Raw genomic sequence first — 26,046 nt, forward strand, 5'->3', positions numbered from 1 at the left:
ATCAAAGTGAATTAGACAGATGAGCTTTAACTCTGAAACTTGACAAGTCTTCTTTAAAGCTCTTCTTTAAAGAAGACAAGTCTTCTCCTTATGACTATATCAGTATCATAAAATTATTTAGTAGTAGCACAGTATATAATATTTTTTAAAGGGAGAATTTAAAGAGAAGTCTTTTAGAATAGATTAGGGGAAAGGAAAATTCACAAACTTCAGATATATTACACTTTGCCATAGAGATCATGCCTAGGGAAAAACACATCTTCTTGGTGCATCACAGAATATTACTTGAAAAATAGTGACACAATATTTTTCACATTCTGATACAATCTTTAGCATGATTTAATGATTTCATTTAAAATTGTTGTTTCCAGATCTCATCCTTCATTGGATATCACAAAACTAAGCTAAACATTAGTCTATCTGTTTTTGAATCAAGAAGGTTTTCCACTTGCTGCACTTTCTCCAAAGTTTTTGAAATTCTACAAAATATGATACTTTACATTCACTGAAACAAGTATGTCTTCCATATCAGTATTTCAACAAGGGAAATTAAGGTATCTTTTGGTGTCAGAATGAACCAATCTGGTTAAAGAAGGGTCCTTGAGGAAAGGAATAATTTTTTAATTCTGTACTTTCTGGCAACTTCACTAAGGCAATACAGCATAGTGGTTAAGAGTATTGATCCTGGAGGTAGAATTCCTGGTCAAAATTGAAGCTCTACCACTTGTCATTTGAAAACCATTAAACCACTGTGTACATGAATTATCTCCTATGTAAAATGAAAACTAGTTTTCATGTTGGCCAAAAGAAAAGGAAGTCCCACCATCGTTTCTAGACTATCAAAAATTCTGAGGGGTACCCGTTTTTACCTCCATTTTCTTAATTCTTCCTTACATACGAGAAAAAGAGATGAATACTGTGTTTCCAGTAAGTACTACAAAAACAAGACCCTCCAACCTCTGGCCTAGATCTCACTCTATTGCTGTATCTTACCTGTTGCAATTAAATAAGTTATTTTGGATTATGAAGGTCTCAAATTCTATGTTGCTAAAGGGAGATATTAGGCCATGTTTTATTCTCCAATTTAGTTTTTCCAGTAAGATACCTTATAAAATAATTTTTTTTGAGTTTTTGTTGTATTTGAATAGAAAGTGGAAAGTCCCATAGTTTTCCTTTATTACTTTTGTGCTCACTGGCTGTCGCTCCCCTCACCACATACTAGATAATCCCAGCACGTGGGTATCCTTTCACTAGAACTGCACTCAGGCTACCCCAAATCACTTTACCTGTAGGTACTGTGAGTGGGAGTGTCTACATTTGTACATCCACTGGAGTTAGAGGTTAACCACCGAGTCGCCTATTAAAAGATATAAACCCAAGTTTTCTTGTCTCCTGATTAATGTGTGATCATCACTCTCTCCATGCCTATCCTGCGAAATCGAGCCAAAATTTATTTCTGTAGGACTTTTTTAGACACCGAAAACTTGGTTTACTCACATGGAAATCTTATTTCTTCATGTTTCTTCTGGTTTTGTCCTGTGAACATTTCCTGTAATCACTTTCACAAAGTCATTATGTCAGTATCTACTTCTGGGGAATCCACCATAAAATGAGTAGAGTGACAAGAGTGAGAAAGTCTCCACTGAGAATGAGTAAACATTCTTCCCAGTCTTTAAAACAAAAGCAAGCTTTGATGGTTTGACCTACCTCAGTTCCACCAAAGAAGGCTATGTATTTTTCAAGGGAAGAGAAGAATTTTACCTTTTCTCAGTAAAAAGAAAAGCAAACATGATGGCAGGCCCCAGCTCCTCTCTTGCTTTCTACATTTGCCCCCTTTTCTTTTTTAAAAAATTTATTACTTTTTTTTATTTTACTTTAAGTTCTGGGGTACATGTGCAGAATGCACAGGTTTGTTAGTGACCTCTGTCCCTCACCTTGATTAGCTGATTGACTGCAAGGCTTGCAAAATGATTCTCAGAAAACATTTTTCTGATGTTTATCAGGGCTCTCAGCAATGAATATGAAAACATGAATAGTCCACAAAAATGTGGGTGTTTTGGTTAAGTAAAAAACAAAACAAAACAAAACTGCTTGAACCAAAACTGCTAGACAGGTGAGCAACTATCCCGTATCCTATAAAAATCCTGTCACTGTTTCTTCCGGGAGTCAACTTGTATGCAGGTGCTTCCTGATCTATATCAACCGAATAAAGCCTTTCTTCTCCATTTAAGTCACTTAGATTAATTTCTTTTTATATCTCACCTTGATCACTAAAAAGCAGAAAAAAGAATCTGGAAACCTTTCTAATGCATTCACAATGGTGCCAAGGTACAAGAGCTAGTCTGTGTTTCTTCATAAAATATTATAATGACAATGTTTATGCCACTCCTCTCACTAGGATCAATGAATGACTATAATCTATTTTCTAAAATTATAGAAATGGACAAACTCATAGCTCATGGTTAATGTGTTAAAAATTGGTTAGACTTTCCTTTCAATAATTTCTTCCCTTTTATTGTCATAGCAATTTGAAAGTTGGTAGCTGTCTTATAACAGCAGGGCCTAGGCAAATCATATTTCTCCAACTGATTCAGTAACAAACATTTGTCTTCCACATTTTTCAATCAATATAAAACATTCCAGTGGCATCAACCTCATGTCATTTCCCAAGCCTAACTAATGCTTGGCTCAGATTTTGCTCAGGAATCGAGGAAAAATATTTACTGCAACAAATGTTCTTTGTGCATAGAGCAACTGATTTACTGTTGGAAGTAGACATCCATCCAAGTTCTATCTCAGAAAGAGTAAGAGAAAAGAATATAAATTTCAAAAAGTCAGCAGAAAGTACATGAAAGTCCAGAATCTTGGCAAAAAAGGCAAGAGATGAGTTTGGGAATAAATTTTCACATACCACAAATTCGAGAATCTCTAAGTCACTTTCTTCTGCTTCCATTAGTGTTATTTCTAAAAGAATGGGCCTATGTGGGAAGTGAAGCATTGACATTGAAAACAACTTGTAATTCCCTCAGGGTTTAGGAGAAAAATTGACATTATAGATATAGTTGAGGTAAAAAGAAAATCAGTAAATGAATCATCTTATATGATTATGATATATTCTGACAAATTTGCTCTTTTTAGGTTTCTTCTGCATCATTGCTTAGTCTATTTATATCACATTTTGCTATAAGGTGCCACACATAAAAGGAAGGTAATTCAGTAATGAGATATAAAGTAGGATAGCTATATCATTGAAAGAACTTAGATTTTGGTTTTAATGAAAACTAATTGAATTAAACAATTAACTCTGATCAAACTTACACTTGATGTAAATGGCCTGTTTGAAGTATAAAAATAAACCCTGGCTTCAAAATTTTAAACACAGGCCTGACACTTAACAGATAAGAGATACTAGGCAACTTCTTAAAATTACTTTGTTGTTAATTTTAGTCTCTGAAGTAAAAATTAAATACCTTAACAATTTTTATGTAAGTAATATAGTCTAATGTGTTGAACAATAAGTAATTCACTAAATGTGTATTGATTTATTTATGTTGTAACATCATACGTGTCTTCTTCATATACTGCCCTCAATATATTTACTATTAATATTGTCTCATCACATCCACAAATAATATATAGCCCAGCACTTATATTCTAAATTAGAAAGTATTGTTCAAAAATATTTATTGGCTTCAAAATAATTTGTCACTCATACCTGATTGAAAGGGATAGAATCTTTTGTTAAAGTAAGGAACATTTGTTTCTACATTATTACATATGGGGTAAAATTAATTTCTTCTTATAAATTAATTTGTCAATAGATGGCCCTAGTGAATATTGGAACATATTTCAAAGGACAAATCTTTGAATAAAGGATATTAATGTGAGGTTAGGAAAAATCCAGTCCCAATGTACTGGACACTTAACATAATGCAAAACAAACTGTCACTATAGTCTTATTCCTCAACACATGATTACTCCAATTACCTTTGAAGTTATTCATCACATAAAATTATTTTGTTCTTTCACTCAATCTTGCCTTCATTTAAAAAATGACCTATTATATGTCAGACAGTGGGTTAGTATCCACACATATATCTCCCTGCTCTCTCTGTTTAGAGAGCCTAGAAGCAATGAGATTCCAGTAGCAATACGCATATCTAGCACCCAGATATTTGTTTCTAATACCATTCCCCAAAAAAGGGAACCAGGGCTTCTTGAAAAAAATGTCTGAATTTAAGACAAGGGATAAGAAAAACACAAGATGAGCCCAGGGCCTCTTGTTGTTCCAGAAAGTAAGGATGTGCTCAAACAAGTAAATAAAAATGCCACTCACACACAGACATAATGGTGTTAGAATGTGAAAGAGACACTGAAACTAACCAAGAAAGTGCCCAATGACCAAATCTAGATAATTTGAGCAAGAAAATAAATAAGATAATTGTATTAGTCCATTTTCACACTACTATAAAGAAATGCCTGAGACTGGGTAATTTATAATAAAAGAGGTTTCATTGACTCACAGTTCTGCATGGCTGGGGAGGCCTCAGGAAACTTAGAATCATTGTGGAAGGCAAAGGGGAAGCAGGCATCTTCTTCACAAGGCAGCAAGAGAGCAAGCATAGGAGAAATTGCCATTTATAAAACCATCAGATGTTGTGAGACTTACTTACTATCCTTGAGAACAGCATGGGAAAAACTGCCCCCATGATCCAATCCCCTCCCACTGGATCCCTCCCTCAACACTTTGGGATTACGGTTCTAGATGAGATTTCAGTGGGTACACAGAGCCAAACCATATCAATAACGTTATAAGTAAAACAGATACCCATAAATCCAAGCTGATATAAATAAATGCTTTAATAATTGAAGAAGAATAGACAAATCTCTTATATAGAAGAATTGCTACTAATGTATTTTGAGACTCTGTCTTTAAAGTTGTGGAGCAGCACATAATGATTTCCAAAAAGTTATGGAAACAAGAAAAAAAGCATATAGTGGAGAATCTTGACAAACACTACTTCAATCAGACAATGAAGGTCAACATGAAAACTGCATAGTATGTACCCTGGATATGATGAGGTAAGACATTGCAACTAGAGAGGTGTTTTCTCACCCAAAATTCATAACTTCAATATAGTCATGAGAATAATGACAGATAAATCCCAACTGGGGGACATCCTACAAAATACCTTATAAATATTCCTTAAAGCTGTCAAGGTCATTAAAAACAAGGAAGTCTGAGAAACATTATAATTAATAAGAGCCTAAAGAGACTTGACAACTAAATGTAATGTGTTAACCTAGATGAGATCCTGGAACAGGAAAAAGTACCTTAGATAATAACTAAGTACATGTGAATAAAGTATGGATTTGAGTTAGTTATGTATAAATATTGATCATTAATTGTAGAAAAAATACTATACTAATATAAGATGTTAACAATATGGGAAATTGGATGTGGGATATATGGGATCTCTTTGAGCTATCTTCACCATTTTCCAAAAATCTAAAACTTTTCTAAAATTAAAACTAGGTTATTATTTTTATATATATGTATATATTTGCAATAAACTCTACCTAAGGGCATGACTGATGAGGAATCATCTAAATGGAAGCTTCCTAGGCAGGGAGAAAATAATTCAGAAATTTAAAGAAAGAAAGAAAAACAAATGATGTTAAATTATTATGGAGGCTGAGAATAAAAATTAAGAGTAGATCATGAAGTGCCCAGTTACATAAAGAACTTACACCTTTTTTTTTTTTATTAGACTGAAGAATGGATAAAAGTATTGGCATTAAACAGGGGATAATCATCAAACATATAAAGTATTTTAAGTTAATATTTCTAACCTCAATGTTCAGGTCATAGAGTGACCAGTTGATGCAGTGAATATGATGGCTCAACAAAAGTCAGTAGGACAGTAAGTTGAGGGACAGTTGCTAGGACATGATGACTTTCAGTGATGAGAAAAAGAAAATGGTAGAGTTACATCATCATTAGAGTTGAGAATGAGATAGGAACACTAGTAAGACAGAATATATGGAAGGAAGATACTTTGAAAGTGGAAGAGATGAATCTGTGACTATTCAAAGAGCAATTAAGGGACAAATTGCTTCTAGGTTTTGGGAATGGTAAAACAAGGACATTTAATTGGCTTTTATAACTCTTAAAAATGAAAGAAAGGCCCGTAATCCCAGCAATTTGGGAGCCCAAGTTGGGCGGATCACGAGGTCAGGAGATAAAGACCATCCTGGCTAACACAGTGAAACCCCGTCTCTAATAAAAATACAAAAAAATTAGCTGGGCGTGGTGGGGGGGCGCCTGTAGTCCCAGCTACTCGGGAGGCTGAGTCAGGAGAATGGCGTGAACCCAGGAGGTGGAGCTTGCCTTGAGCCGAGATCTCGCCACTGCACTCCTACCTGGGCGACAGTGCGAGACGCTGTCTCAAATAAATAAATAAATAAAAGCATGTAATCCTTCTTTAAAAATTCTGTATGACATTTATGGAATATTGGAGGTAATATAATTTAAAAATACTTAGCAAAGTGGTCAACAATAGTTTAAAAACATTAAACAACAATTTCTGGTATTTTTTAAAAAATATTCATGTCTGGTCTGGCGCTGTGGCTCAAGCCTGTAATCCCAGCACTTTGGGAGGCCAAGGCCAGTGGATCACCTGAGGTCAGGAGCTCAAGACTAGCCTGGCCAACATGGTGAAACCCAATCCCAAATAAAAATACAAAAAAAAAAAAATTAGCTGGGCGTGGTGGCAGGCGCCTGTAATCCCAGCTACTTCAGGAGGCTGAGGCAGGAGAATCGCTAGAAAAGAGGCAGAGGTTGCAGTGAGCCGAGATCGTGCCATTGCACTCCAGCCTGGGTGACAAGAGTGAAACTCTGTCAAAAATACATATATACACATACATATATATATATACACATATATATATTCATGTCTTTATTCAGTAGAACCATTTGAGTTTTGAGGCAAAAACTACTTTTGTGTCAATTCTATTTATTCTGATCATTAGAAATGTAAAATAATTTGATATCTGTCAACACCATCCACCTGCCCAGGTTATATTTAAAAAAAAAACAAATTAATATTGATTCAGGGGGTACATGTTGAAGTTTTGGCTTGGTATGATTCCATCACCCAAGTAGTGAACATAGTACTCAATAGTCAGCTTTTTGACTGTTGCCCTCCTCCTGCCCTCCCACCTTTTGGAATCCTCAATGTCTATTGTTCTTATCTTTATGTCCATGTGTATCCAATGTTTAGCTTTCACTTACAAGTGAAAACATGTGAACAGCGTTCCCTTTTCTCTGCAACCTTGACAACATTTGTTATTTTTTGACTTTTTAAATGGTAGCCACTCTGACTGGTGTAAGACGTTATGCCATCATGGCTTTGATTTGCATCTCTCTGGTGATTGGTAATGATGAACATTTTTTAATGTTTGTTGGCTGCATGTATGTTTTCTTTTGAGGAGTGTCTGCTCATGTCCTTTGCCTACTTTACAAATGTGTTGTTTTTTCCTTGTTTTGTTTGAGTTGCTGATAGATTCTGAATATTAGTCCTTTGTTAAATGCACAATTTGCAAATATTTTCTCCCATTCTATAGGTTGTCTGTTTACTCTTGATTGTTTCATTTGCTGTGCACAAGCTCTTTAGTTTGATTAGGTCCTACTTAATTGTTTTTGTTGTTGAATTTGCTTTTGAGGATTCCGTTATAAATTATGTGCCCAGGCTAATGTCTATGAGTATTTCCTAAGTTTTCTTCTAGGATTTTTACACTTAGAAATCTTACATTTAAGAGTTCAATCCATTTTGAGTTAATGTGTGTGTATGCTGAGGTAGGGGTCCAGTTTCACTCTTCTGAATATTGTTATCCAGTTTTCCCAGCACCATTTATTAAATAGGATATCTTTTCTTTATTGTTTATTTTTGTCAACTTTCTCAAAGACCATTCGGTTGTAGGTGTACAGCTTTATTTCTGGGGTCTCTATTCTGTTCCATTGGTTTATGTGTCTACTTTTATATTTCTAGTATAAAATATAAAAGTGCCATGCTGTTTTGGTTACTATAGCCTTTCAGTATAGTTTGGAGTCAGGTAATATGATGCCTCTGGCTTTGTTCTTTTTGCTTAAGATTGCTTTGGCTATTGGGGTTCCATTTTGTTCCATATGAATTTTAGAATTGTTTTTTCTAATTCTGTGAAAAATAGCATTGTTTATTTGACAGGAACAATGTGGAATCTGTAGATTGCTTTAGGAAGTATAGATATTTTATTGATATTGATTCTTCCCATCCATGGGCATGGAATTTTTTTTATTTGTGTCATCTGTGATTTCTTTCAGTAGTGTGTAGTTCTCCTTGTAGACATGTTTCACCTCCTTGGTTATAAGTATTTCTAGGTGTGTGTGTGTGTGTGTGTGTGTGTGTGTGTGCGCACGTAGCTACTGTAAATGGTACTGCATTCTTGATTTGGTTCTCAGACTGAATGCTATTAGTATAAATAAATGCTACTGATTTTTGTACATTGATTTTATATCTTACTGAAGTTATGTACAAGGTCTAGGAGTCTTTTGGCAGAATCTTTAGGGTTTTGTTTTCTTTTCTATTTTATTTAATTAATTTATTTATTTACTTTTTTGAGATGGAGTCTCACTCTGTCACTCATGCTGGAGTGCAGTGGCACAATCTTGGCTCACTGCAACCTCCATCTCCTGGGTTCAAGCAATTCTTTGCCTCAGCTTCCCGAGTAGCTGGGATTACAGGCACACGCCACCACGGCTGGCTAATTTTTTTGTATTTTTAGTAGAGACGGGGTTTCACCATCTTGACCAGGCTGGTCTTGAACTCCTGACCTCATGATCCACCTGCCTCAGCCTCCCAAAGTGTTGGGATTACAGGAGTGAGCCACCGCGCCCAGCCGTCTTTAGGGTTTTCTTAGTTTAGAATCATTATCAGCAAACAGAGGTAATCTGACTTTCTCTTCTATTTGGATGCCCTTTATTTCTTTCTCTTGCCTGATTGCTCTGGTTAGGACCTTTAATACTATATTGAGTAGGAGTGATGAGAAAGGATATCCTTGTTATTTGACAGTTCTCAGGGGGAATGCTTTCAACTTATGCCTGTTTAGGATGATTTGGCTGTGTTTTTCTGGTTTGTTCAGAGATGCTTATTATTTTTAGGTATATTCCTTCAATGCTAAGTTTGTTAAGGGTTTTTATCATGAAGGAATGCTGTTTTTTATGAAATTCTTTTTTTTTGCATTTGTTGAGATGATTATATGGTTTTTACTTTTAATTCTGTTCATGTGGTGAATTACATATATTGATTTGTGTATGTTGAACTATACTTGCATCACAGGAATAAAGTCTACTTGATTATGATGAATTATATTTTTGATGTGGTGCCAGATTCATTTTGCTAGTATTTTGTTGAGGACTTTTGAACCTATGTCATCAGGGATATTTTCCTGTAATTTTATTTCTTTGTTGTGTCTTTGCCAGATTTTGATGTCAGGATGATACCAGTTTCATAGAATGAGTTAGAGAGAAACCTTTCCTCCTTGATTTTTCGGAATAGTTTCAGTAGGATTGGGACAAGCTCTTATTTTTATTTTTATATCTGCTAAAATGTGGCTAAGAATCCATTTGGCTCAGGGGCTTTTTTTTTTTTTTCGGTTGGTAGGTACTTCACAGTTTCAATTTTACTACTCATTATTGTTCTGTTCGGAATTACTGCTTCTTCCTAGTTTAAACTTGGTAGATTGTGTGTTTCTAAAAATTTATCAATTTTCTCTAGCTTTTCTAGGTTTTAGTTTTTTTGTATAGAGAATTTTATAGTAGTCTCTGAGGATCTTTTGTATTCCTGTGGGATTGGTTGTAATGCCACTTTTGTCATTTCTGATAGTGCTTATTTGAATATTATCTTTTTTCTTTATTAATTTGGCTAGTGGTCTATCAAATGTCTTTATCCATTCAAAGAACCAATTCTGTTTTATTGATCCTTTGTATGATATTTTTGAGTCTCAATTTCATTTAGTTTTTCTCAGATTATAGTTATATCTTTTCTTCTGCTAGATTTGGGTTTAGTTTATTCTTGTTAATTCAAGATCTTTCTATCTTCTTAATGCATGGTCGAGATTATTCTGATGTTACCCTTTGTGTGGTATATTTCATCACTGGCACCAATTTTTCACATCTCTCTATCCGTTATCACCCTTAGCGATTCTTTTCAATAAAAGGGACAAGGAATAAATTGTAACTCATTGCAATTTTGTTACGGAGCAATGGTTTACTGACACAAATATGGAAAGTAGTTGCATTTATTAAAAGTCATTCGATATCATTCAATTCTCAAGTTAAAAATAGTATTCTTTTCAGTGGTTTTAGACTCACAAGACACTGTCAAATGTTGTTGGTTGGCAGTGATGTTCTCTGTACACAGGCTTCACATAAAGCGTGTAATAATATTTAAAAGCTTTCTGCATTTTCCTCCATATAAAATCACAGCAATAGATCATGAAAGAGGTAATTTTTCTTTCAAACATTTCTGTTGTGAAAAACACCACATCAAATCATGAATTCTTTTCTCTAATAAATGCAGTGTTCCAAACAAAATAGTCAACTGACAATGAATTACTACACTCCAACATTCTGGAGATGAATTGGAAATAGATCCTCTTTGCTTTGGGGTAATGCTCCCAGATGTTATCTAAACATAACTACAACAAGCAGTTTGGCTTATATTTACAAAAAATGCAACTGCAGAATTTAATTTTTTTAAGGAGAGTTAAAATAAAAAATATAAAATCTATTCAGGAGTAGAAGCATAAGAACCATTACAGAATAAGTGCAACATTAATGATGTTGAGTGTGGAGCAATGATAAATATTATTTTAAAATACCACTCACTATATTGGCAATAGTTTTTAAATAATTATGTACAGAATATGGTTTACCTTGAATTTTTTTAAATTGAAAGCTCAATACATTGCATGCAGGATGTATGAAGTAAATGGTCTTTAACAAATAAAAAGTACCTTATATGTTCTATTACACATTCTGTTAAATTTGGAAATAAATTTACAACCAAATAATCAGTTTAATATTAAGTGTTTCTTTTTGTGGGGAGTGAAATGTGCATTTTAAGGTTTGTAAATGAAATGATATGCATTACTATTCAGCTTTTAAATTAAGAAATTTATGTTTACCAAAAGCCTAAAATATCTAATCACTAGGTTATTGTTTCATAAGCTATCATTCTGCAATATACTAAAACATAATTTTAGAACATTACCAATTAAAAAATGTATATGATAATAAAATTTCATTTATTTCTTCTATTGTTAAATTATTCTTTCATATCTAATGGTTATCCAATTGTTTACATATCAAAACCTTTTTGGATTAAAAATTGGTAAAATAATTTCAAAGCATTATTTTCACATTTTATTTGGTTTTTATGTATGTATTTTTTTAAAGAATTTTCTTTCAGGGCCAGGTGCGGTGGCTTATGCCTGTAATCCCAGCACTTTGGGAGGCTGAGGCCAGCAGATCACCTGAGGTCGGGAGTTCGAGACCAGCCTGACCAACATGGTGAAACTCTGTCTCTACTAAAAATACAAAAATTAGCCGGGCGTGGTGGCACATGGCTGTAGTCCCGGCTACTCTGGAGGGTGAGGCAGGAGAATCACTTGAACCTGGGAGGCGGAGCTTGCAGTGAGCTGAGGTGGCTCCACTGCACTCCAGCCTGGGCAACAGAGTGAGACTCCGTCTCAAAAAAAAAAAAATTAATTCTTCCTAAAAGGGAAATTACACTACTCTTTGAGACATCAAGCCTTACTGTACTCATGGCTTTGTACCATGCCTGATGATCAAAAGTGTTTATATTGCTTGATAAAAAATAATGTCTGTTTCAACTTTACTATCATTTGAACGTTACAATATCTCTAATTAGTTGAGAATGTTTTTCTTTCTTCTGAAATAAAGAGGCAATGCTTCATGTAACTTTTAGAGTCCTTTAGAATGAAAACATGAATAATCACTGTTCATATTTCATATTATCATTTAAAGACTAAGGATGGTAAAGGCAAGAGTAATAGTAGGCAAGTGACCATTATGGTAATACGTAAGAGAAATGGTTGATCTACAATTGAAACATGGGCCTTAAGTTTGTTTTATATATTTAAAAACATATACCAAGTATATATCTGTAAAAATAGCTTCATTAGTTAAATTTCTTGAAAATTTATTTTAATGGGATGAATCTGTGAAGTGAGGAGAGGATAGTAAAAACTATTACATGACGGAGAAAGGAAAAATATTGGATTCTTTCCAACCACCATCTGCTGTCAGTTTCAGCTTCATCTATAAAACATATTTTAACATAAAATAAAGGCAATGCAAAGGTTACTATAACTTTTCTGTTTGCAAGCAGCATTCAGAGACTATTAAGATGGGGGGGTACTCAAAATTTAGTGATCTAAATATTTTCAAGAAAAATAATGGAGTGATTTTACAGAAATCCAGAAGTAAAAACCTCTGTATGCCTCAGTTATTCATTCATAAATTGGGGTGATAAATATAACCAACTTCTACTATTACTCTGAGTCTTAAATAAGTTAATGTAAGTAGAGGGCTTATAAGGACAGGTGTCATAATAAAGTCACTAAGCACTTTATTATCATATGTTGTACTACTAAACTCTCCTTGGAATTAGTCCTTCTCTATAGTGTTGTTCCACTTTGGTGAACACAAATATAAAGTTTACTCTTTAGAGTAAAGCTGAAACCATTGTAATTTTTCTAGTAATTCAGAGTATGCTCTCTGTTTCACTTTTAAACTTGAACTTAATGCTACGTCTCCTAAGTAGAATATATATATATATAATATACCTAAGCAATAAATGCCACCTTCAAATCATGTAAACAATTTTGTAATCTTGCATATATCTATCACAGGACCATACTTACTGTCTACCAAACTCCTTATGTGTTCCTGTATAGCTGTACTTTGTAATGTAAACCATTCCCAAGCAACATCTTGCCTTTCTAAACTCTCTAATTCTAGCACTTAAACTCTTTATCTAATTCTAGATTACAGTTATATACTGTATTATATAATATAGTACCCAGTTGGTGTGGTTTAGAATCGTGTCCCTGACAGAATCTCATGTCGAATTGTAATCCCCAGTGTTGGAGGAGGGGCCTGGTGGGAGATGATTGGACCATGGGGGAAGATTTCCCCCTTTCTGTTCTTGTGATAGTGAATGAGTTCTCACAAGATCTGATTGTTTAAAAATGTGTAGCACCTTCCCCCACTCTGTTTTCCTCCTACTCTAGCCATGTCAGACTTGCCAGCTTCCCTTTCATCTTCCACCATGATTTTAAGTTTCCTGGGGCCTCCCCAGCCATGCCTCCTGTACAGCCTGTGGAACCAGGAGCTAATTAACCCTCTTTTCTTTATAGATTACCCAGTCTTAGGTAGTTATTTATGGCCATGCCAAGAACAGACTAATACACCACTTATAGTTGCAGCCTAAGGAAAAAGAAGAAAAGTAATAAAGTAATGGAATGAAAGTACTACTAGACAACCCATAGCAATTCAAGTTTGAACAAAAAGATATATGAAATACACAATTTATAGGAGACATTTTCATATAAGTTATGTGTCATTAGACTTAAGCAATATTCTGTTCACTCACTCAATATTAACTCTCCATCTTAACAAAATATTGGGATTTTTTTAGAGTTTAAGAAAATTCGAATCTACTTTATATTAAATAAGAATTATCAGTTTGTTTTCAGTTTTTTTCTCAACCTTATTAAATCTTAGGTGACTCACATTAATTCCCCAAGTATGCATTTCTGTATTGACAAAATGAATGTGTTGTACAAATTTAACTCTTTCTAGGTTTCGACTTCTCTGAGTTTATATAATGTAAAAAGTCATTATTTTAGGGGCTCAAGGTAAACAATGAGAACAGAGGGCATTCACCTGTATACATAATCTTGGCACATCTACTCTTAGCTACTTAATTCAGTATCAAGTGAAGAACACTAACATAATTGTTTTCACTTTCTAGGCATAGTTATTTTTACTTTTACTTTTCAGTTTTCCATTTTATGGAATTAGACATTTAATAATTATTTTCATTAATAAATACATTTTTCTAAGGGTAACTATATTGTTAAAAAATCTATATTTACTCAATTATGCTAATATGAGAAGTTTATTTTGGACTCAATCTATCACATAACTCAGTAAGTAGAGATGATATGGTGGACTAAGCCTGGGCTTTGGAATATGACTGATAAGTGCTTGAATCTTGACCCTTCCACTTTCTTAATGTCATCTTAGGTAAGGATTTTACAACTCAAGACCTACTTTTTCCTGAAGCTAAAATGGAAATAATAGCTAGTCATTGGTTTGGGATTATAAGTTATAACATATTTAATTCTGACTCATGATAGCTCTTCAAAATATACTGACCTGTTTCCACTTACAATTATTTCATAGTATAATAGGTTTATTATACATAACCATTCATTTCTTCTATGCCATTCTTAGCAAGCCATTTTCAAATACATAATCAAATAAGGCTATTCATATGTACTACGATACTCCTCCTATTAAATATATTATTTAAGAAATACAATTTTACACAGAGCTAAATTTCTTTTAACAAATATTTGCCTAATAGGACTCATATGCCTTTCTCTGGGGAAGGGCATTATTTTATTCATTATTTACCTTTGTATTCCTGCACAAAAATTTGGTCATACTAGTCAGGGAAGCTATTATTTGATGATATAGAGGATTGCATAATATACCATTGTTGTAATAAATTGAAAGCCAATAGATATTACAAAAGATGTCTGTTATTTTTTCAGAGCAGAGGAAAAAAACCTTTCTCTCAGCTGCTATCTGTACCGTCATGCAGATTTTAGTTTTAAATTGATTGAGCCACAAATGAGCACTTCCCTAAGCTTTCAGAATTGCAGATTATTAGATCTGAGGTTCAGAAATAATTGCTTTCAGAGAGAGAATTTGTCATCTATTCAATTCCATATTTTTATGACAGCCTGTTTACTTTGGTTTAGAATTAAGGTAGCCTTATTACCTCCACTATCACTGTCTGTCACTTAACATGTCTGGCTAGGGATAAGAACTACCAACAATGCAATAAAAAAGAAGAATGCCTAAACCTCAGAGTTTATTGGGCTATTCACTTTTCACAGATACAGAGGACAAGAATAAATTTTGAAAATATGTGCAAAGAATGGAGGACTGAGAATATAACAAGGAAAACAGAGGTTTCATTAGATTTTCAGAGACCACAGTCTACATGAAAAGAACTTCAGAAAAAAAATGATGTTTTTTCTGTGTGGAAAAACGTTCAGAAGAAAATGATAGTTTGCACAGTGATAGCAGGGAGCGGCAATGACCAGGTTGAAACCTTGGGTATAATTTCTCTGCTAATGTTTCATGGGGATGAAGAAACATTGCTCTGGCTACAAGGCTGAGAGCCATCCCTTAAAAATTTTGGATCAGTAAAGAAAAAAAGAAAGAATTCTGGATCACTGATGTCAAAATTCAACTTCATGAGCTCTTCTCCAGCAGTATTGCTCTACTCATTATTCCCTGAATATGCCAAGATTTCCTGCCTCGTATATTCACGCTCAGCAACAAAATTGCATCAACTTACCAGAAGCTGTTAAGAAATCTATCTATGCTACCCCAAACCCTAAAAGGATGAATTGTATGTCAAAAAAAGCAATGCGCTTATTTATACTGGCTAATCAGCTTGTGTGATGAGTTAGAAAGCAGTGTCACCTGAATAAGCACACATACTATTTTTGTGCAGGAAAGCCTACTTAGAAACCAAGGAGTAATATAAACACGTATTACAAGTAAGAGAGCTGGATGTATAAAAAGGTAGAGTTATGGTTGATATTAATCGAGTAAAATGGAATTATCACCACCTGATATACCCATGTCACTAATGATGTACCTTATTAAGTGCCTTAAAATTAGGTGACCACGCATCCCAGGTGTGCCAAGGAAAGTCCTGCTTTATATCTACCATCCCGGGACAACTTTAACTCAAATCTTTCCCACTTTACCCACTTTAGATTGTTAAAATATTCACCCTTATATGGTTTTGACCACAATGTGATAAATTATGACCTTTTTTTTTTTGACAGAGTCTCACTCTGTCACCCAGGCTGAAGTACAGTGGTGCTATCTGGGCTCACTGCAACCTCTGCCTACTGGGTTCAAGCGACTCTCCTGCTTCAGTCTCTTTAGGAGCTTGGGCTACAGGCTTACCACCACACCTGGCTAATTTTTGTATTTTTGGTAGAGACAGGGTTTCACCACGTTGGCCAGGCTGGTCTCAAACTCCTGACCTCAGGTGATCCGCCCGCCTCGGCCTCCGAAAGTGCTGGGATTACAGGTGTGAGACACTGTGCCCGGCCTATTATGACTCTTTATATTTCTTTTTGCTTGCATGAGACAATGCAAGCAAATCTCTAAACATTTTTTCATGCCTGGTTACTATTAAGTGATTAAGTTTCTCTGCATTGGTAGTGTTCTCATTCCTTTATTTTCCATGAAGACACAGACTATGATGGGACTCAGGAAGACATTAAATTTGAATTTACGACATATATATGACATACATTATTATCTGCTTGAGGTTTACCCCTTCTATCCTCTAACTTCTCTAGGTATTTTATACTTGAATAATGCTTGATTAGTTAGATTGTGAACATCCACCTGTTAACCACCTGTTTTTCCAGGCAATATGCTCCTTTTGTGTATATTCTTCTCATTTATATTCTTAAGCCCACTTTCTCAGTGCTAGTTACTGCATCATTTTTATATGTGAAAATATTTTTCTCCCTAAGTAGTTACCTTATATCACCAAGTATCCGGTGGACAGCTCTGATTATATGCCTTGCAGATACCTAAACTCAACGTGTTGAAACCAAATTTTTTATTTTGGGTTTTCTCCAATAATTTTGAAAAAGTAAATAGTTGCACAAGCTGTTAGACTATTTAGTCTTCCCTGAACATACTTTGACAAATAAAACTCTGAGAAACGGGGAAAGTAAGGCTAAAATTAAATCAGATAGACACAATATATTTGGAAAAAACAGTCAGTTAGGGAGGCATGGAAGAAGAGATACTCTTCAGTGAGAGCCAGCATGTGGTGTTAAAGTCGGTAGGGGGGAATTATGAGCTTCAAAGCTCAATAAAAGCAGAATAAAAAAAGAAATCCATCATAGAAATAAAGACAAGACATACTGAAATATGTAATTTAAGAAACATTTTTGAAAATTAAAAGAAGAAAGTTGTAAGTGTGCACCACAATGCACAAAAGAGTAAGAAAGAACAGTCAACAAGATTAGGCACATTAAATTATCAGACATGTAAGATAAAGAAACATCTTTTCTAAAACTGCTCAGAATAATAATATTATTTTATATAAAATGGTTATTTCCCATGCAGATCTTACAACAATGACTATGTATGCACCAATTTAAATAAATCAATATTTATTAGTTAAAAATAAAGTATAGCAATACAATAAAACAGAGAGAAATGTCTTGTCATATAATTTAATTCATCTCCTCAGGTCATAATTGATAAAATAGACCAAAAATTAATAAGGATATATGAGACCATATATCCTAATGATGTCCTATAAATATAAACTGTATCACTTTTTAAGTACTCCTTTAGTATTCATAAAATGTGATGCCATATTCTAAGTACCAAATAAAATTTTAATATATATAAAAACAAAATTAATACCTGGAAATATTTATTAATCAGAGTCTAGTAAAACTGGAGTAGAATTGTTCATAGTAGTCTCTAATGATCTCTTTGTATTTTTGTGGTATCAGTTGTACTTTTTTCTTTTTAATCTCTGATTTTTTTGTTTTGGTTTTCTCTCTCTTTTTCTTAGTCTAGGTGAAGGTTTATTGATTTTGTTTATCTTTTATAAAACCTTTTTTGATCTTTTGTTTTTTTCAGTCTTAATTTTGTTTATTTCTGTTCTGAACTTTATTATTTAGTTTCTGTATTAATTCTGCATTTTTTTCTCACTTTTTTTGTAGTTCCTTTGGGTGCATCATTAGGTTATTTGAATTTTTTTATGGTTTTTATGTAGGTGTTTATTGTAATAAGGCCTCTTAGCACTGCTTTTGCAGTATCCCATAGGTTCTAATGTTTCTATTTGTTTTAAGAGAAACATTTTTAATTTTCTTTTATATTTTTTCATTGACTCCTTGGTTATTCAGAAACATGTTTAATTTTAATGTATTTTTACAGTTTCCAAAGTTCCTGTTGTTGTTGAGTATAGTTTTATTTTGCTACGATCAGGAAAGGTACTTGATATAATTTTGACTCTTAAATTTGTTGAGACTTGTTTTGTGGCCTAACAAATGGTGTATCCTGGACAGTGTTCTCTGTGCAGATGAGAAGAATGCATATTCTGGAGAAGCTGGATACAATGTTCGATAACTGTCTATTAGGACCATTTGGTCCAGAATATAGTTTAACTTCAATGTTTCTTTGTTCATTTTCTGTCTGAATGATCTCTCCATTGACAAAAGTGGGGTGCTGAATTCCTTTAATATATTGTACTGCAGTTTATCTCTCCCTTTAGATCTATTAATATTTGCTTTATGTATTTGGGTGCTACAGTGTTGGGTACATATGTATATATGTTTATGTTTACATACACATATATATTTAGTAGTATTATATCCTTTTGCTGAGTTGACCCTTTTATCATTATGTAATAACCTTTGATATCTCATTTTACAGTTGTTGATATAAAGTCTATTTGGTCTTATATGAGTGTAGCTACTCCTGCTTTTTTTTTTGTTTCCATTTGCATGGCACATATTTTTTCATGCCTTCACTTTTGGCCTATGTGTGTCTTTACAGGTAAAGTGAGTTTCCATAGATGGCATATAGTAGTCACATATTTTTAATCTATTCAGCCAGTCTATGTCTTTTAATTAGAGAATTTAGTCCACTTACATCCAATGTTGCTATTGATAGTTAAGGACATACTACTGCCTTTTGTTATTTGCTTTCTGTTTTGTTTTTTTTTTTAACTCCTCTCTTTCTTCCTTTCTTATAGCTTTTCTTTGTAATTATTTGATTTTCTCTTGGAGTATGTTTTAATTTGTTGCTTTTAATTTGTAATGTCTCTATTATAGGTTTTTACTTTTTACCATGAGGCTTACAAAAAACATCCTATAGTTATAACTAGTTATTTAAAACTGATACCAATTCAACCTTGATCACAAAAAAACTATAAAACAGGTGCACACATTAATTCCTTTCTAGTCCTACATTTTGAATTTCTGACGTCACAACTTACATTTTTTATATTTCCTGTCCCTTAAAAGTTTTTTGCAGTGATAATTTTAATATTTTGCCTTGTATTCTTCTTAAGAAGGATAAAAGTGGCTTATGCACCACCATTACAATATTAGCATAATGATCACATTAGTGGTTTTTTCCTTCAGTTTGAAGAACTCTCTTTAACATTTCTTGTAGTACAGGTCTAGTCATAGTAAATTTCCTCAGCTTTTGTTTGTCTGGAAAAGCCTCAGCTTTTCTTTGTCTAGGAAAGTCTTTATCAATCCTTCATTTCTGGAAAACAGACTTGCTGCAAACAGCATTCTTGGTTGGCAGGTGTGTGTGTGTGTGTGTGTGTGTGTGTGTGTGTGTGTGTGTGTGTGTGTGTGTGTGTTTTCCTTCATTATTCTTAATATATTATCTCACTCTCTCCTGGCCTATAAGGTTTCTGCTGAGAAGTCTGCTGCCAAGAATATTTATTTATTTATTTATTTATTTATTTATTTATTTATTTATTTTGAGACGGAGTCTCACTCTGTCACCCAGGCTGGAGTGCAGTGGCGCAATCTCGACTCACTGCAAGCTCTGCCTCCTGGGTTCACGCCATTCTCCTGCCTCAGCCTCCTGAGTAGCTGGAACTACAGGCGCCCGCCACCACACCTGGCTAATTTTTTTGTATTTTTAGTAAAGACGGGGTTTCACCATGTTAGTCAGGATGGTCTCAATCTCCTGACATCGTGATCCACCCACCTGGCCTCCCAAAGTGCTGGGATTACAGGGGTGAGCCACCTTGCCCGGCCACCAAGAATATTTTAACTCACTCATATCTGATTTGCTTCCTTTCTCTCACTGCTTTTAGGATCATCTCTTTGTCATTGAAATTTGAGAGGTTGATTATAATATGTCTTGAGATATTTTTATTTTGCTTTAATCTGATTGGTAAACTTTGATCTTCTTGCACCTGAATACTTATATATTTCTCCAGGCTTAGAAACCTCTCTATTATTATTTCTTTTAATATGTTTTCTATCCTTTTGTCTTTCTCAGTTTCCTCATTAACTCCATTAGCCCAAATATTAGAACTTTTGATGTCCTGTAGATCATGTAACCTTTATTTCTTTTCGTGTTTTGTTATTTTCTCTCTTCTGTGTATTTTCCAATCATCTGTCTTTGAGCTCATGCTTCTTTCTTCTGTCCAATCAATTCTACTGTTGATGCTCTCTACTGCATTTGTAAATTTCATTCATGGTACTTTTCAGCTCCAAAATTGTTTGCTTTTTTGAAATTATTTCAATCTTTTTGTTAAATTTCTCTGATACATTTCTACACCGATTTCTTGTGTTTTCTTGAAGTTGTTGAGCTTCTTTAAAATAGCTATTTTGAATTCTTTGTCTCAGGGATGACAGATTTTCCTTGCTTTAGCATTGGTCTGTGTCACATTATTTTGTATATTTGTTGAGTTCACATTCCCTGACAGTTCTTGATGCTTGTGATGACATCTGTACATTGATGAATTAGGTACCTAATGTGGTCTCAGTTGGTTTTTATTAATTTATTTTTTATTTCAATAGGTCTTTGGGGAACAGATGGTGTTTGGCTACATGAATAAGTTCTTTAATGGTGATTTCTGAGATTTTGGTGTGCCCATCACCCAAGAAGTGTACACTGCACCCATTGTGTAGTCTTTTATCACTCACCCCTTCCCACCCTTTTTCCCAAGTACCCAGAGTCCATTGTATCATTCTTATGCCTTTGTGTCCTCATAGCTTAGCTCCCAATTATGAATGAGAACATATGATGTTTGGTTTTCCATTGCTAAGTTACTTCACTCAGAATAATAGTCTCCAGTTCCATCCAGGTTGTTGTGAATGCCATTATTTCATTCCTTTTTATGGCTGAATAGTATACCATGGTATATATATAGCATATATTCTTTATCCACTCATTTATTGATGGGCATTTGGGCTAGTTCTATATTTTTGAAATTGCAAATTGTGCTGCTATAAACATGCATGTGCAAATATATTTTTTGTATAATGACTTCTTTTCCTCTCAGTAGATACCCAGCAGTGGGATTGCTGGATCAAATGGTAGATCTATTTGTAGTTCCTTAAGGAATCTCCACACTGTTTTCCATGGGAGTACTAGTTTACATTTCCACCAACAGTGTAAAAGTGTTCCCTTTCACTACATCCAGGCCAATATCTATTTTTTTTTTTATTTTTTGATTATGGTCATACTTGCAGGTCTAAGATGGTTTTGCATTATGATTTTGATTTGCATTTCCCTGATAATTCGTCGTGATGTTGAGTATTTTTCCTTTTGTTTGTTGGCCATTTGTATATCTTCTTTTGAGAATTGTCTATTCGTGTCCTTAGCCCATTTTTCGATGGGATTCTTTGGTGTTTTCTCACTGATTTGTGAGTTCTTTGTAGATTCTGGATATTAGTCCTTTCTCAGATGTATAGATTGTAAAGATTTCCTCCCACTCTGTGGGTTTTCTGTTAACTCTGCCATTTCTTTTGCTGTGCAGAAGCTTTTTAGTTTAATTGTTAACTCTGCTATTTCTTTTGCTGTTCAGAAGCTTTTTAGTTTAACTAAGTCCCACCTATTTATCTTTGTTTTTCTTGCATTTGCTTTTGAGTTCTTGGTCATAAAGTTGTCGTCTAAGCCAACTTCCAGAAGAATTTTCCAATGTTACCTTCTAGAATTTTTATGGTTTCAGGTCTTGTATGTAGTCCTTGATCCATCTTGAGTTGATTTTGTATAAGGTGAGGGACGAGGATCCAATTTCATTTTCTACGTGTGGCTTGCCAATTATCCTAGCACCATTTGTTCAACAGGGTGTCCTTTCCCAACTTTGTGTTTCTGTCTTCTTTGTCGAAGATCAGTGGGCTGTAAATATTTGGCTTTATATCTGGGTTCTCTATTCTGTTCCATTGGTATACATGCTTATTTTTATGCCAGTACCATGATATTTTGGTGACTTTGGCCTTATAGCATAGTTTGAAGTCAGTTAATGTAATGCCTCCAGATTTCTTTATTTTGCTTTGCTATGTGGGCCCAATTTTGGTTCCATATGAACTTTGGAATTGTTTTTTCTGATTCTGTAAAGAATGACAGTGGTATTTTGATGAGAATTGTCCTGAATTTGTAGATTGTTTTTGGCAGTATGATCATTTTCACAATATTGATTCTACCCATCCACAAGTATGGGATGTGTTTCCATTTGTTTGTGTCATCTATGATTTCTTTCAGCAGTGTTTCATAGTTTTCCTTGTAGAAGTCTTTCACCTTCTTGGTTAGGTATATTTCTAAGTATTCTTTTTTTGCAGCTATTGTAAAAGGGGTTGAGTTGTTGATTTGATTCTCAGCTTGGTCACTGTTTGTATATAGCAGAGCTATTAATTTGCATACATTAATTTTATATCCAGAAACTTTGCTGAATTTATTTGCCAGTTCTAGGAGCTTTATGGAGGAGTGTTTAGGGTTTTCTAGGTATACAATCATATCATCAACAAACAGCAACAGTTTAACTTCCTCTTTACTGATTTGAATGCTCTTTATTTCTTTCTCTTTTCTGATTGCTCTGGCTAGGACTTCCAGTACTATGTTGAGTAGAAGTAGTGAAAGTGGGCATCCTTGCCTTGTTCCAATTATCCGGGAGAATGCTTTCAACTTTTCCCCATTCAGTATAATGTTGGATGTGGGTTTGTCATAGATGGATTTTATTACCTTAAGGTATGTCCTTTATATGCCAATTTTTCTGCAGGTTTTAATCATAAAGGGATGCTGGATTTTGCCAAATGCTTTTTCTGCAACTATTGAGATACTCATGTGATTTTTGTCTTTAATTCTGCTTATGTGGTGTATCACGTTTATTGACTTGTGGATATTAAACCATCCCTGCATTCCTGGTATGAAACCCATTTGATCATGGTGGATTACTTTTGGATATGCTGTTGGGTTCTGTTAGCTAGTATTTTGTTGAGGATTTTTTGATCTATGTTCATCAGGGATATTGGTCTGTAGTTTACTTTTTTTTGTTATGTCCTTTCCTGGTTTGGTATTTGGGTGATACTGCCTTCATACAATGATTTAAGAAGGATTCCCTCTTTTTCTATCTTGTGAAATAATGTCAACAGGATTGGTACCCATTCTTCTTTGAATGTTTGACACAATTCAGCTATAAATTTGTCTGGTTCTGGACTTTCTTTTTATGTTGGCATTTTTTTAAAATTACCATTTCAATCTCACTGCTTTTTATTTGTCTGTTCAGAGTTTCTATATCTTCCTGGTTTAATCTAGGAAGGTTGTTTATTTCCAGGAATTTATCCATATCCTCTAGGTTTTCTGGTTTATGCATGTAAAGGTGCTTACAGGAGCCTTGAATAATCTTTTCTAATTCTGTGGTATCAGTAGTATTATCTCCTGTTTCATTTCTAATTGAGCTTATTTGCTTCTTCTCTCTTCTTGTCTTGGTTAATCTCATGAATGGTCTCTCAATTTATCTTTTCAAAGAACCAGATTTATGTTTCATTTATATTTTGTATTGTTTTGTTGTTGTTGTTTCAATTTCATTTAGTTCTGCTCTGATCTTTATTATTTCTTTTCTTTTACTGGGTTTGGGTTTGGATTGCTCCTGTTTCTACAGTTTCATGAGGTGTGAAACACAATAGATTGTCTATTGTCTCTTTCAGTTTTTTTTTTTATGTAGGCATTTAATGCTATAAACTTTCCTCTTAGTACTACTTTTTCTGTATCCCAGAAGTTTTGATAGGCAGTGTCACTATTGTCATTAAGTTCAAAGAATTTTCAAATTTCCATCTTGATTTCATTCTTGACCTAACAATCATTCAGGAGCAGGTTATTTAATTTCCATGTATTTGCATCATTTTGAGCATCCCTTTTGGAGTTGATTTCCAATTTTATTCCACTGTGGTCTGAGAGAGTACTTGATATAGGTTTGATTTTCTTAAATTTACTGAGACTTGTTTTGTGGCCTATCATATGGTCTATCTTGGAGAATGTTCAATGTGCTGATGAATAGAAAGTATATTCTGTAGTTGTTGGGTAGAATGTTATGTAAATATCTAGTAAGTATATTTGTTGTAGGGTATAGTTTAAGTCCATTGTTTCTTTGTTGACTTTCTGTTTTGATGACCTGTCTAGTGCTGTCAGTGGAGTATTGAAGTCCCCCACTATTATTCTGTTGCCATCTATACCTTTTTTTAGGTCTAGTAGCAATTGTTTTATAAATTTGGGAGTTCTGGTGTTAGGTGCATATATATTTAGGATTGTGATATTTTCCTGTTGGACTAGTCCTTTCATCATTATATAATGTCCCTGTTCTTTTTAACTGCTGTTGCTTTAAAGTTTGTTTTGTCTGATATAAGAATAGCTACTCCTGCTTCTTTTTGGTGTCCATTTGCATGGAATACCTTTTTCCATCCCTTTACCTGAAGTTTATATGGGTCCTTATAAGTAAGGTGAGTCTCCTGAAGATGGCAGAAACTTGGTTGGTAAACTCTTATCCCATCTGCCATTCTATATATTTTAAGCAGAGAATTTAGGCCATTTACATTCTGCATTAGTATTGAGAAGTGAGATACTATTCTATTCATCATGCTATTTGTTGCCTGAATATCTTGTTTTGTTTTGTTTGTTTCATTGTGTTATTCTTATATAGGTCCTGTGAAACTTATGGTTTAAGGAGGTCCTATCTTGGTGTATTTTGAGGATTTGCTTCAAGATTTAGAGCTCCTTTTAGCAGTTCTTGTAGTGCTGGCTTGGCAGTGGTTCATTGTCTCAGCATTTGTTTGTCTGGAAGAAAAATTGTATCTTTCTTTCATTTGTGAATCTTAGTTTAGCTGGATACAAAATTCTTGACTGATAATTGTTTTGTTTAAAGAGGCTAAAAATAGGACCCAAGTCCCTTCCAGCTTGTAGGATTTCTGCTTTTTCTGTGATAGGTTTTAGGTTTTTCCTTTGTACATTACCTGATGCTTTTGCCTCATGGCTCTTAGGATTCTTTCCTTTGTCTTGAATTTTGATAACTTGATGACTGTATGACTAGGTGATAACCTTTTTGCAATAATTTCCCAGGTATTTTTTAAGCCTTCTGTATTTGGATGATTAGATCTCTAGTAAGGCTGGGGAAGTTTTCTTCAATTATTCTCTCAAATATGTTTTCCAAACATTTTGATGTATCCAAACACCAATTATTCCTAGGTGTGGATGTTTAATATAGTCCCAAACTTCTTGGAGGCTTTATTTATTTATTTATTTATTTATTTATTTATTTATTTATTTTATTTTGTCTTTTATGGATTGGATCGATTCAAAAGATTTGTCTTTGAGCTCTGAAGTTCTTTCTTCTGCTTGTTTGATTCTTTTGATTCTATTTCTGATACTTTCCAGTGCATTTTGGATTTTTTTTTTTTCGAGATGGAGTTTTGCTCTTGTTGCCCAGGCTGGAGTGCAGGGGCATGATCTCAGCTCACTGCAACCTCCCCCTTCCGGTTTCAAGCAATTCTCTTGCCTCAGCCTCCAGAGTAGCTGGGATTACAGGTGCCCACCACCACACCCAGCTAATTTTTGTATTTGTAGTAGAGATGGGATTTCACCATGTTGGCCAGGCTGGTCTC

General features: G+C 34.2%; 1 long non-coding RNA gene across 1 annotated transcript in view; it reads right to left on the bottom strand.

Moving 5' to 3' along the window:
- Positions 1-12,370: 12,370 nt before the first annotated feature.
- The window catches only part of LOC101928563 (uncharacterized), a 33,969-nt gene continuing 20,293 nt past the window's right edge, over positions 12,371-26,046 (bottom strand). Inside the window, exon 6 of the long non-coding RNA XR_001748189.1 lies at positions 12,371-12,382. This is a non-coding gene — a long non-coding RNA (uncharacterized LOC101928563). The remainder of the gene's footprint in view (positions 12,383-26,046) is intronic.

Source organism: Homo sapiens, chromosome 11, assembly GCF_000001405.40.
Source record: "Homo sapiens chromosome 11, GRCh38.p14 Primary Assembly".
Taxonomy (NCBI): Eukaryota; Metazoa; Chordata; class Mammalia; order Primates; family Hominidae; genus Homo; species Homo sapiens.